General features: G+C 45.5%; 2 protein-coding genes across 6 annotated transcripts in view, besides 1 other annotated feature; both read left to right on the top strand.

The window, feature by feature from the left end:
• CRYZL2P-SEC16B (CRYZL2P-SEC16B readthrough) overlaps positions 1-12,519 on the top strand; it is a 109,189-nt gene extending 96,670 nt beyond the window's left edge. For both annotated transcript variants that reach the window (NM_001356506.2, NM_001356505.2), the window contains 10 exons: positions 593-697; positions 1,530-1,605; positions 3,794-4,093; positions 4,942-5,009; positions 7,671-7,823; positions 7,995-8,093; positions 8,498-8,609; positions 8,738-8,817; positions 10,664-10,762; positions 11,378-12,519. In NM_001356506.2, coding sequence (NP_001343435.1) covers positions 593-697; positions 1,530-1,605; positions 3,794-4,093; positions 4,942-5,009; positions 7,671-7,823; positions 7,995-8,093; positions 8,498-8,609; positions 8,738-8,817; positions 10,664-10,762; positions 11,378-11,449 — 1,164 coding nt within the window. In that variant the 3' untranslated portion in view covers positions 11,450-12,519. The remainder of the gene's footprint in view (positions 1-592; positions 698-1,529; positions 1,606-3,793; positions 4,094-4,941; positions 5,010-7,670; positions 7,824-7,994; positions 8,094-8,497; positions 8,610-8,737; positions 8,818-10,663; positions 10,763-11,377) is intronic.
• The window catches only part of SEC16B (SEC16 homolog B, endoplasmic reticulum export factor), a 55,497-nt gene extending 42,978 nt beyond the window's left edge, over positions 1-12,519 (top strand). For 2 of the 4 annotated variants that reach the window (NM_001390835.1, NM_001390834.1), the window contains exons 17-26: positions 593-697; positions 1,530-1,605; positions 3,794-4,093; positions 4,942-5,009; positions 7,671-7,823; positions 7,995-8,093; positions 8,498-8,609; positions 8,738-8,817; positions 10,664-10,762; positions 11,378-12,519. In NM_001390835.1, coding sequence (NP_001377764.1) covers positions 593-697; positions 1,530-1,605; positions 3,794-4,093; positions 4,942-5,009; positions 7,671-7,823; positions 7,995-8,093; positions 8,498-8,609; positions 8,738-8,817; positions 10,664-10,762; positions 11,378-11,449 — 1,164 coding nt within the window. In that variant the 3' untranslated portion in view covers positions 11,450-12,519. The remainder of the gene's footprint in view (positions 1-592; positions 698-1,529; positions 1,606-3,793; positions 4,094-4,941; positions 5,010-7,670; positions 7,824-7,994; positions 8,094-8,497; positions 8,610-8,737; positions 8,818-10,663; positions 10,763-11,377) is intronic. The other 2 variants (NM_001390833.1, NM_033127.4) reach the window with 1 other exon arrangement.
• Positions 3,966-4,467: an enhancer, noted in NCBI's record as "H3K4me1 hESC enhancer chr1:177905975-177906476 (GRCh37/hg19 assembly coordinates)". NCBI's record gives its function as "activates a minimal SCP1, AML or CMV promoter by ChIP-STARR-seq in naive H9 embryonic stem cells {active_cell/tissue: H9 hESC(naive)}" and the evidence as "EXISTENCE:reporter gene assay evidence [ECO:0000049][PMID:30033119]".
• Positions 12,520-12,810: the final 291 nt, after the last annotated feature.

The following is a 12,810-nucleotide window of genomic DNA, read 5'->3' as shown; positions in this document are numbered from 1 at the left end:
AACGTATAAAATTTGTGGTGGTGAGCCTCCCCATACCCTGAAGTTTCTGCCAACAGGTTGATGGTTGCAAGGAGCTCAGGGATCCAGAATGAATTATTAGAAAAGTTTCAGTAACTAAAACTTGTTTATGGAATAAATCCTTGAAATACAAAGTAACATTAGCATCACCTGGGAGCTGGTTAAAAGTGCAGACTCTTAGGCCCTGCCCAGACGTATGGAATCAGAATTAGCATTTTAACAAGTTTACAATTAGAATTTTAACAAAATTCCTATGTATACCCTAAGTTTGAGAAACACTGTTACAGAGCAGACAGCTTTGCAGAGAAATGAAGCTGAGTAACTGTTTCTCCTCATATTTTATTTAGAATCTAGCACCCAAGACGGGTTGTTTATTTATGTTGCAATTTTGGGAGGATATCTGCTGAATTTGCTGTTTTTCGATTATTTTTTATAATGTAATTTACAAGTTAGTTAAGGCTCTCTTTCTCCTTTTTCCTTGTTTTCTCTTCCCCGTTGTCTTTCCATTTCTCTTCCCTCTCTCTCCTCTCCTCTCTTACTTTCTGCCCCTAACCCATCTGGAAACCTGGCACAGCTAGCAGAGAAACTGAAGCTGTCAGATCCTCTGGTTTTAGAAAGACGCAGTGGAGACAGGGACCTGGAGCCAGATTGGCTAGCGCAACTTCGGAGGCAGCTGGAGGTGAGTGGGATTGGAGCCAGGGCGTTGGGGGGACTGGCCTTTGTTTCCCTCTTCCCACCCCTAGACATGGAACAGGTAGGCACTGACATTAGCAAGTCCCTGGTCCCCATGCCTCACCCTGGTCTCTCCCATCACCCATGAGGCACAGTTGGTGTCTGCGCAAGGGGTGGGACTCAGCTTCCCTGCCACTGCTTGTCCCCTGTGTGGAAGCGTTTTCCTATGTTCGCATGTGACACGGTGGGGTGCTCTTCCCAGTCACTCTTGCCATCCTTCCCTGAGGCCCCAGAGAATATGTTTCATGACCATCAAAGCTTCCCCATCTCCGCTAGGAACAATGGATCACAGTGGACCAGTGTCACTTTCATGTAATGTGGGGCAATTGCTTAAAAGACTTCCGGGCCTTTTCCTTTTTGTTCTGACAATTGCAAAAGCTGCTGGTTGTAATTGGAACAGTAATTGGAACAGGGCCTCCTCCATTTTCTTTTTCCCATTCTGCTCTGAAGAAAAGACAGGGTGGATTTTTTAAAGCACACACAGCCTCTACCCCTTCTATCTGCTGCACGTGCTGAGGCCTACAGTTTAGTTCTTTCCATGCGCTCCTTCCTTCAGGGGAGGGTGGATGACTCTGGTCTCCAGCCATCTCTGCCTGCTCTGAGCAGAGCTGGGAGCCCTGTCCACGTGACCCCCCAGGCCCCTAAGCATACAAGCATTTCCCTTACCTTGTCTTTCCCACTGGAAGTTTCTTTTTGGCTTAAGTTTTGAATCACTTTGTTTCTCTGTTCTTGTTTTTCCTTTGTGCTGCTTAAAAGGAATTTTACTTTATTTTAAATAGCAAAAGGTAGCAGGAGACATTGGGGATCCTCATCCTACTCGCTCAGATATTTCGGGAGCCGGAGGAACAACAACAGGTACCCAAAATGATGAACTGAGCATATACATAGCTGACGCTCAGGATCTGATTCTACGAGACAAAGTAATTTATGAAAGCACTCGCCCTTTGCTTCCCAGGGTGCCTGCCTTGCCTGTGTAAGTCCGCCCCGTTGTCCAGGCGCCTTCTCCACCCAGCTCCTGCCAGCCTCACACATCCCTAACACTTCTAAGTTCCCTCAGTCTGAGCTTCTGCTTCATGATTCAGGTTTTTAAATATCTGAGTGTTTTTTGTGTTGCACTGTATTGTTAGCCAATTCTTTCTCCTATGTTAATAACTTCTCTCCAGCTGGATACATTTCTTGAGTCCAGAGATTGTGGTTCATCTGTATCTTATGTGAGTGCTGGGGATGTCAGAAGTCCTTAAGAGTTTTGAGCTAGTGATTGCCAGATGATTGTGGAATAAGTATGTTTCAATGTTTTCATGGCATCTCCACTCTTCCCTTGGGATGATTCCCAATGGTGTGTTGGCAGGCACCATATCCCTGGTTAACTGTGTACCCTTTCCCCAAGTTCCCCCTGCAGTAGGGCCGGGAAAGGGCCCCCGTCTCTTCCCAGCCCTGTGTCCTTCCTCAGGCGTGAGCAAAGGGAAGGGTGGGCAGGGCAGGCCTTGGCTTCTGTTTCTCACTGTGTAGCAGGATCTGTAAAGGTGGGGGGTGGAGGAGAGCCCGGCTGGGTGCCTGTGGATTGTGCTTCCCCACAGCCCTGCCTCCTGATGCCTTGGTGCCCAGTGGAGCAGGCGGGTTGGCCACCCATGCCAGTCCTGTGACCAATCTTGTTATAGGTCCACACCTTAGTTTATGTTACCAGTCAGGTCTTTTCCAGGGCAAATGTACTCTGATTCCTTAAGAACAGAGCCATGATTTCTGTGGTCTGATTTGGGTTTTTAGCTGGAAGCTTTCTAAGTTTTAAATACCCATGTCCATCAGGAAGTCCTTAAAGAAGAAATAATTTATCAAAAAATAAAAAGGTGTGGAGTTAGATAGGATGGTAATTTCAGCCCTCCCAACCCACTGGCTAGAGGCTCAGGGATCATACAAGGCAGTGTTAACTTAAAAAAAAAGTCATACAATGTGTACATTTGGAAAGGAGACTTTATTTCTTACAAAGGGTTCCATCCTGCAAGGTGGCCATCCCGCAGGCTGGGAAGTATAGCCAGGCACTTTGAGGGAAGGAGAGGTAAGACAAGAATTTAAGTTGAATGGGTTGATCAAACATACATATTTAACAGGTTATAGGAGGAGCTGTGACTGTTCACAAAGGAGGTCCTCACACATGGATAATGAACTAATGTGCGTGTAACACATGACCCATGTTCACCTTGGGGTGGAGACTTATCCTTTAAGTGTATTACAGTTAGGCCCTATGCGTCAAAAGATCTTTTCGGGACACAGAAGCACTGAAGTGGGGAGCCTCTGTAAACTGGCCAGACCCAGTTCATGGTTGGTGGTCTTCTTATCTGGAGAAAGTTACTGATATCAGTCTTGTCCAATCAAAGCTGTGGTCATGGCTGATGGAACGGAGGCTCATTTAGTCAGCATTTGTGAATGGAATGAGTTGTAATTGTTCTAACATTGCTCATCTTGAGGCCAGTGCTTGTTGAGCTGCCAGAGAAAAAAAACCTTGTGGCCGTGAGAACGCAGTTTTTTCTTAAGGTGTAGGGGTGCGGGACTTAACCATTGCCTGGCAGGGCTTTAGGTTCTGTGTATAGTTTGGTATCTTATGGCCACCAAGAGTCTTTTCTGTTAGTCTTAAGATCTCTGTTTTAACATTAATGCTGGTCAGTTGTGTCTAAACTGCAAAAGAGAGGGGGTATAATGAGGGGTGTCTCACCTCCCATCCTGTCATGGCTGGGAACTCAGTTTTTAAGGTTTTTCTGGGGTCCCCTTGGCCAAAAGGGAGTCTGTTAAGTCAATGGAGGAGCTTAGGATTTTATTTTTAGGGTACACTAGTGAAGAAAAAAACAAACAAACAAAATTCTGTAAACAGCAATGAGGATGTTACAATCACTGTGTTTTACTTGTCATCATGTTACTGGAAGCCGCATTAGACAGCTCGTCCTTGTGACTGCTTTCCAAAGAAGACATAAGCAGGAATGTTTCTGGTGTGATCAGTATGCAAATGCCGCATTTCAGGTCTGACTTCTTTACCTTTGTTCCACGTCCTTAGAAAACACTTTCTACCAGGACTTTTCTGGATGTCAAGGCTACTCTGAAGCCCCTGGGTACCGCTCAGCTCTGTGGCTGACACCTGAGCAGACCTGCCTGCTCCAGCCCAGCCCACAGCAGCCCTTTCCCCTCCAGCCGGGCTCCTACCCAGCAGGAGGGGGTGCAGGGCAGACAGGGACACCGAGGCCTTTTTACTCAGTTCCTGAGACCCATCTACCAGGGACTGGCAGCAGCGTGGCAGTGACAGAGGCCACTGGAGGAACAGTCTGGGAGGAAATGCTGCAGACACACCTGGGCCCTGGTAAGACCTGGCCGCTAGGGTGGCCACATTGAATGTAGGGTCTGGGTGGGGAGGAAGCAGGAAAGGGAGGTGGTGGGACCAGTCAGAGGAGGTAGGGTTGGAGCTGGGAAAGACACAGATGCGTGGATGTGTGCCCGTTACGGAGGGCCTGCTAGTTTTCAGCCACTGTATTGGTGCTTTGCATACATCTGAAGGAGATTGCTATCTTCCAGCCCAGTCCATCTCTCCACTGGGTACAGCAGGGCAAATGGAGCCACTCCTGCCATCCAAATGATTACATAGTTTCTAGGAGAGAGATTACAGGGTGGAAAAATATAGGCCAAGTTCTCTTTCTCCAATCATCCTGCACTCAAGAGCTTACTATCAGGCTCTCCAGCAGAAACCCATGTTTCTGTCTTGGTCCCGAGTTTCTTCAGGCCCATCAGACCTTCGACAACAAGGGCTGAGTATGGGTAAGCAATGCTGAGTGATGCCAGGGAGATGGTGGAAGCCATCTAGAATGATTAGCTCTTAGACCTTCCAGGATTAGGTCCTGTCCAAGATGGAGGCTCAGATGGAGAGGAGTGGTGGAGGATCCCTGTGACCTAGCTTGATGTTGCTCTGATTTCCAAGATTCCTGAAGAGTGGCTTTGGAAGTAGAGGATGAGTTGAACAGCATGTCCTGGGGTGGCTGGGATTGAGATGAGCTACGTGAGCATTCTTTGTATTTGCTGTGATTGGCTTGGGCTTATGGGCTCCGAGCTTCTGCTGCAGTTAAGAAAGCTGATTGTGTCCCAGTTACCCTTCTTCAGGATAGATGGGAAAAGCACAACTTCCAATTGCTATTTCCATTTCTGTTTGTGATGCAGGAGAGAACACAGTGTCTCAAGAAACTTCCCAGCCTCCTGATGGCCAAGAGGTCATTTCCAAACCACAGGTGAGAGCGCACAGCATAAAAGATGCCACTGCCCACTCAAATGCTTCTGGTTTTTACCAGTTGCCTTGGTTTCCCAGCCACATGCAAGCTCCTCCTCAGTGTTGCAGCAGCTTTCTCTTCCACATCTCGCCTTGCCTTTTCCTATTCCAACTCCTGGGAGCTGGGCGGGAGGCTGTGTTCTTGTTTACGCTCAGCCCCACAAACCTGTGTCCATGGGGAGAGAGGGAGCAACTGAGCTGATTCGTTTTGGCCTCTCAGATCTCTGTTACCTCTGACATCTTCTCAGTGCTGCACAAAACGCTTGCCCTACCCTGTCCTGCCATGGAAGACTGTTGATATTTCCTTGTTTTAATTTTTACCTGGCTTTATTTCAAAGAAAGATCTGTGGTAGCTGTGACAGTGCCTGCCTGTCTTTTCTCCTCAGTTAGGCTGTAAGGTCCTCATGTCTGGTGAATCATTCCATCTAGCTCTGATTGGACACACCCCTGCCCTCAGCAATGGGCAGTGTTGGTCCCAAACCTGAGGCGTTCTTCAGCTTCTCCTGGTTGGAGGGTTACATCCTATAACTTTTTAAAGTAGAAAAACAGGGGTACAGGTCTTAACAAACTTTAATGTTTTTCCGTTTTTTTTTTTTTCCTGACTGAAGTGGTACATTATTGTTATAGAAAAATCTAATAGTGAAGTATCATATAAAGAATCAAATATCATTCAATCCAACAGTCAGAATATTTTTCTTTTCTTATACTATTTTTCTATATATACACACATATACTCACATATATGTATATCTGTATATACATTATACACATATACATGTTTTTAAATGGCTAAGAACATATGTATGCAAAGCTTTATTTCATATCTGTTACTTAACACTCTATGAGATTTTTCTATGTCATTCATAAATATGATTTTTAATATTGGCATGACGAAATTGATTTTATGAAAGTAGCGCTATTCATTCATTTATTTGAAATATTCACTGAGTTCCTACAATGTGCCAGACCCTGTCACAGGGGCTGGGGAGGCATCAGCACATCAGACCAAGCCTAACCTCAGGCGCTCAAGTCTAGTGGAAGTGACTAAAAATAGACAACTATACGCGCCAGGCATCTCACTTCAGAGGGGTGGCCAAGGAAGGTGTCTCTGAGGAGGCCTTCAAGTGGAGATCAGGGTGGAGCATGGAAATGAGCCAGGTGAATATCTGGGGGAAAGGTGTTTGAGGCAGAGAAACAGCAGGACTGGAGGCCCTGCAGTGGCTCCCTTGGTGTAGTTAAGGGAGAGCAAGGGAGCCACTGTGCCCTGAGAGTGGGGAGCAGTAGGGAGGAGGGCTGAGAAACAAGGCTGGAGGGCAGCAGAGGTAAACTTATGGGGCCTCCACGACCATGGTAAGGAGCTCGCATTCTGGTGGATCATTCCCATGTTGTCGTTAATCATTGTGAGTGTTGCGTCCTTTCCCCTCCCTCCCTCCATTCCTCCTTCCTTTTCTCACTCATATATAACACACAGTGCTGGTCATCCTAGTATATAAGCCCTTGTCTATGTCTTGAATCATTCACTTAGAAGAAATTCCTAGAAGGAAAGCCAGACAGCCTACTTTTAACCTTTGCTGTGCCATTTATGAGCTGTGTGACCCGACACAGGTTGCTTAACCTTTCTGTGCCTTAGTTTTCTTATATATAAAATGAGATAATAATAGCACCTAGCTCACAGGACTATTGTAAGGATTAAATGAATCACTACATATAAAGCCCTTAAAACAGTGCCCGGCACAAAGTCAACACTATATTCATTTGAATAAAAAATAAAGTTTTTTTCTTTATTTTCCTAAAGTATTTCCAAAGGTTTGTATCAATTGTGCTCTATTGAGAGTAAAAAATGTAAATATAACAGAAGAGGGCAATATGTCATATGACTCCACCTACGTGAGATACATAGAATAGGCAAATTCAGAGACATAAAGTGGAATGGCAGTGACCAGGGCCTGGGGGAAGGGGAGATGGGGAGTTAGGTAATGGGGATGATGAAAAAGTTCTGGAGATGGCTAGTGGTGATGGTTGTACGACACTGTGTGTATACTTACTGCCACTGAATTGTACATTTAAAAATAGTTAAAATGGCAAGCTTTATCCTGTATCTATCTTACCACAAAAAAAAAAAAAGTTAATGTAAAGGGATGTGGGTGTATTTTACCCCCCTTTGGTGCATATGTTCACAGTTGAGCTTGAGCAAGTCTGTTAGGAAATGAGCTCTAAGATGAGTTATGTTTGGTGGTTGCTACATTCTCTGTTTTTTTTTTTTTGGGGGGAGCTTGTGGGCCTCTGTGGGTTGTTTTCTGGCCCTCTTCATCTCCAGCAGTAGCAGTCCATACCCCCTACTCCAGGCCTTGGCATAGTTCTGAAAACTGTCTGTTTCTGGAGAGGTGGCACACCAGACAAAGGTCTGTAGAATTAGGGATAACATGGGCTTGGGCTCTGTCCTTATCCTGCGACCTTCAGTGAGTCATTTTTCATGGCTGAGCCTTCCTTCCTCTTCAGTACAATATGATCCTGAGACAACAGTCCCACTGCCTTCTGAGCAGGTCAGGTGAGGGAGTATGTGCAAATGTGTTTGGTAACCTGTCAAGTGCCATGCAAATGTGAGTTATTTCTTTAATTCCAGACACCATTGGCTGCTAGACCACGAAGTATTTCTGAGAGTTCCGCCAGTTCAGCCAAGGAGGATGAGAAGGAGTCCTCTGATGAGGCTGATAAAAACTCTCCCCGAAATACTGCCCAGAGAGGCAAGCTCGGAGATGGGAAGGAGCATACAAAGGTGGAGGGACTTGTTCTTCTCTCCCCTGCCTTCCTTCCCCTGCCATTCCCTTCCTCGAGGGTGGTGCAGACTTGGAAGTCTGGGCTCTGATGGTTACATGGGGGCGGGTTAACCTCATAGTTGGGGAAGAAGCCAACCTGCAGGTCATAAAATGTCCTCTTCCCCTTCCAGAGCTCAGGGTTTGGCTGGTTCAGCTGGTTTCGATCGAAGCCCACCAAGAACGCATCCCCCGCTGGAGACGAGGACTCCTCAGACAGCCCTGACTCTGAGGTAGGCTCTGTGGGAGGGGGAGGATGCCCCTCTCTGTGGGTCTTTCAGAGGGAGCTGCCTCAGCACCTAGGAGCTCTCAGAGCTGGCACCTGAGTCTACCCCAGGCCACATGAGACAGAGGTTTTGTGATGGGATATGGTGGGAAATGAATGGGTCCTGTGAGGGCAAAGGCAGATTAAAAAAGCTTTAAAAAGTTTGGATGAAGAAATGTAACTTTAGAGGGTCAGCAGTAGGGAGCTAGTGTGGATTGTTGAGCAGAAGAGTGGGATGAGGAGGGGGGTTTTGGGGAGTGCCCAGCAGCAGTTTGTGGCAAGGCCGCCATCGTGAGTGTGGGAACACAAATTGGCGGGCATCAATTTGTTAACTGCCAATGTTGCCAATGCTGCCTTTCTTTCTCCACAAAGCAGGAGACCCCCAGAGCATCTTCTCCCCACCAGGCTGGCCTGGGCCTCTCACTGACACCTTCCCCTGAGTCCCCACCTCTGCCGGATGTTAGTGCCTTCTCCAGGGGCAGAGGTACCGTCACCTCACGTCCTCTGGGCCATGGGTGGTCCCCTCAGCACTCCCAAGGGTTGGGGTGCCTTCTGGGAGTGGGGACCCCCAGTCCTGAGCAGAGGAAACAGCTCTGCCTCATTACTTTCCAGGTGGGGGTGAAGGCCGAGGATCCGCATCCAGCGGGGGAGCAGCTGCGGGCGCTGGGGTTGGAGGCTTGTCTGGACCAGAGGTAAGCGGCCCCCCTGGGCTGGAGCCTCGGACCCCAGCAGATGCCTGTGTGTGAGGACTGAACCTTCAGTGTGGGCAGTGCTGACTCCTGGCGAACCTGAAGAATGCTTCTCTGCTGTGTTAGTTTGCTCAGGCTGTCATAACAAAGTACCACAGAACAGAGGCTCAGACCACAGAAACCGAATTTCTCACAGTTCTCCAGGCTGAAAGCTGAGGTCCAGGTTTCAGCAGGGTTGTGTCTTTTGAGACCTCTTTCCTTGGCTTGTGCCCGGCCATCTTCTTTCCACGTCTTCACATGGCCTTTCCTCTGAGCGTGTCTGTGTTCAGATTTCTTCCTCTTATAGGGACATCAGTCATACTGGAATGGGCTACCAATATGACCTCCATTTATGTTAATTGCCTCTTTAAAGACCCCATCTCCAAATGTTGTATTTTTATGTTTCTCCAAACATATGTTTTCTGAGGTACTGGGGGTTAGGGCTTCAACACGTGATTTTTTTTTTTTCTGGGAACACAGTTCAACCTATAACAGCTTCCTCGGGGGAAGCCTGGGGACTTGCCTTTTTCCCTGTCCCAGGAGGAGGTGGAGTTCACTGGAGACCTTGGCCAGGGCTGTGACAAATTCTTGATGAGTTGTCCACATCAGTATGGATTTCATATCTATTGCTAGGAAAACATTTTTATTTCTTTAAGTCTGGTTAGATAACTCTTGTAGAGTTTTAGGCCTTTTGAAGGCTATATTACTTTTTATGATGGTATCAATATAATTTATTGAGGCTTTTTCTTCTTGTCAGTATTGCCACTCCAGACCCAGGGGTTGGTTGTTTCCACTTGAACCATGTTTGCTTGCTTGAGATTCCCTGAGTTCTATTAAGAAACCCTTCTGATATGGTTCTCTTTGAAAACATTTCAGTAGCTTTTGGGGCACAAGTGGTTTTTGGTTAATAGATGAATTATATAGTGGTGAATTCTGACATTTTAGTGCACCCACCAGCCAAGTAGTGTTGGCGTGGATGTGGGTTGTACCTAATATGTAGTTTTTTTTATCCCTGACCCTCCTCCCACCCTTCCTCTTCTGAATCTCTAAAGTCCATTATGTCACTCTGTGTGTCTTCACATACTCATAGCTCCCCACTTATAAGTGAGAACATATGGTTTTCGGTTTTCCACTCCTGTGTACTTCACTTAGAATAATGGACTCCGGCTTCATCCAAGTTGCTGCAAAAGACATTATTTTGTTCATTTTAATGGCTGAGTGTATTCCATCGTATACGTATACCGCATTTTCTTTATGTACTCATTAGTCGATGGGCACTTAGGTTGGTTCCACGTTTTGCAATTGTGAATTGTGCTGCTATAAACATACTTGTGCAAGTGTATTTTTCAAGTAATGACTTCTTTCCTTTTGGGCCGATACCCAGTAGTGGGATTGCTGGATCAAATGGTAGTTCTACTTTTAGCTCTTTAAGGAATCTTCATACTGTTTTTCATAGAGGTTGTACTAATTTACATTCCCACCAGCGGTGTATAAGTGTCCCCTTTTGCCAACATCTATTATTTTTTGACATTTTAGTTATGGTCATTTTTGCAGGAGTAAGATGGTATCTCATTGTGGCTTTAATTTGCATTTCCCTGATGATTATTGATGTTGAACATTTTTTTCATTTGTTTATTGGCCATTTCTTCTTTTGAGAAATGCATATTCATGTCCTTTGGAGAGTCGATAAGGAACTTAAAGAAATCACTGAGAAAAAAACAAATAATCCTGATATGCTTCTTGAAGGCCTCGACATTCTGGAATCTGGGAGGCAGGCACTGATGGGATTTTCCATGCTTTTCCATCACAGAGTGTTTCCTTTGAGCTCTGCTCCAACCCTGGTGTTCTTCTTCCTCCACCTGCCTTAAAAGGGGCTGTTCCTCTTTACAACCCATCTCAGGTGCCTCAGGTAAGGAAGCCCTCAGGGGGAGGGGCTGGCCAGGAGTACAGGTTTTGGATTAAGGAGACCTAGGTTTATCATCCCAGTTTACCATTTATGATATGTGAGTTCTTGAGCAATTATTTAGCCTCTCCAAGTCTCAGTTTCTGCATCTGTAAAGTGGGATTAGTAGTAGCTAGCTCAGAGATATGTATATGAAGGGCCTGGAACCCAGAAAATGGTCAATAAATGTAGTTACTATTAATATCATGTTTAAATTTTAATAGCTCTTGAGATGTGGGAGACACAGTTGGTGTTGGTATCAGTAGTGTGGGTGCAGTGTCACTCTGTCCTGGGGATGAAGGGATCATTGGAAACTTTGAGAGAAGCTAAGTTCCCTGTTCCTCAGCAATCTGGGTAGACTTAGCTCTGCTAATGTCTCATTTGGCCTCCTCTCTTTATAAAAATCAAATTTCTTTTACCACAGTTAGGTGAAGGGTTGGGTGGAGGTACGCAATTAGAACACAACCTTGGGAAATGTTCTACACAGAGGCTCAGGGTGCCCTAGCTCCATCTGTCCAATCAACCCCGGGCAGAGTCATGTTTGGGGCTGTACTCAGTGTAATATTTGTTCTTCTTTTCCAGCTGCCCACGGCCACTAGCCTGAATCGGCCAAATCGCCTAGCTCAGCGTCGCTATCCCACCCAGCCATGCTGAGAATAAACACACGTCCCAGGCTCATCTCCCAGGACTGAAACTTTCTTGCTCTCTTTTTCTCAATCTCCCAGCCCCTCTCTACCATATTGGGACCCTCAAGAGGTTTGTGCTAGCCCGATGCCTCCACCGGGCACTTAGAAGGCAAGAGGACAGGATCTCTCAAGACACAGCACAATTCAGTCTCTTAAGATTAGCTTCACAATGATGGAAATTATTTCATCAGGTGGAAAGTCTGGGTCTAATAGCAGACTGCACATGAGCAGAGTGACATGGTGGTGGCACTTATGGTGGTGGCTTGAGAGCCTTGGGGAAATTAGGGCCCTAACAGCTAGAATCAAAGATGATACCGCAGGGCCCTGTAGCAAGAAATGGGAAGCAGGGGGAGGGGCAGGGGCTCAGAACAATATTCTAGACCAACTTTGACTACTTCCTGTCTTAGTAATAGACCAATACATGGCTCTATTTAGCAAAGTTTTTATACTGAAACTTGATTATTGCTGCCCTTTATAATTTCCTCTTCAATGATATTTCAGCAGTTTCCCTCTTGGTCCTAGTTTTGTGCACATTTTTTTGAATGTGGTTCAGATTAATTATATTTCTCTCACTTTCTTAGCTGGTCCTATTTTTTCACATTCTGGCATGTGGCTATCAAGTTAGATTGCTGTAGGCATCATATTGTCATGGTAACTACTGAACCTAATGATGCAGATGGATGGCACATCAGTATAATAAATGATGGAAAACGGTTCCTAAAAATTCATCCCTTTCATAAGAGGGGAAGAATGAGTGCCTGATATTGTTAATACCTCCCTTTCTACCTCAGGCCTTTGCAAATTGATGTTCAGAGGGTCACTGGAGTGAGAGGGAGGAGGGGGGCGTCTTGGAAATTTCCATTTCTCTTTTCAAACCCAAAATAGGAATGACTCTTGCTGTTTGTCAGATTTGCTGAAAATTGCTCCTCACAAAGAACATTTTTTTTTGTACATGTAATTGTAAATACAGGTTTAGTACGTTAATGTTCTATAGTTCTGATATTGATAATAATTAAACCCAGATAATTTTATAGCAAATGCTTGTCTCTGGCTGATTTTTACAGAGGAAGAAAGTACATTGGTGGTCTCTTCCCTGAAGTCTTTCTAATAATGGTTTTATTGTGTGATCAAGTGTGAATAGCTGGAAAGAGCCCTTTGTTAATGAGGAATCTAGGGACAGATCCTCTTAACTTCTAAGTCTACTCTAATTTTATTATTTTTCCAATTTAAAAAATATGAACAAAAAGCTCCTCTGATGCAAGTCAGTCACTTTACTAACTGAACTAAGTGTTGTATATTTTGTTCCATAAAAAGTTGTTTTTAACCTCT

Source organism: Homo sapiens, chromosome 1, assembly GCF_000001405.40.
Source record: "Homo sapiens chromosome 1, GRCh38.p14 Primary Assembly".
NCBI lineage: Eukaryota > Metazoa > Chordata > Mammalia > Primates > Hominidae > Homo > Homo sapiens.
This window is presented reverse-complemented; position numbering and strand designations above follow the sequence as displayed.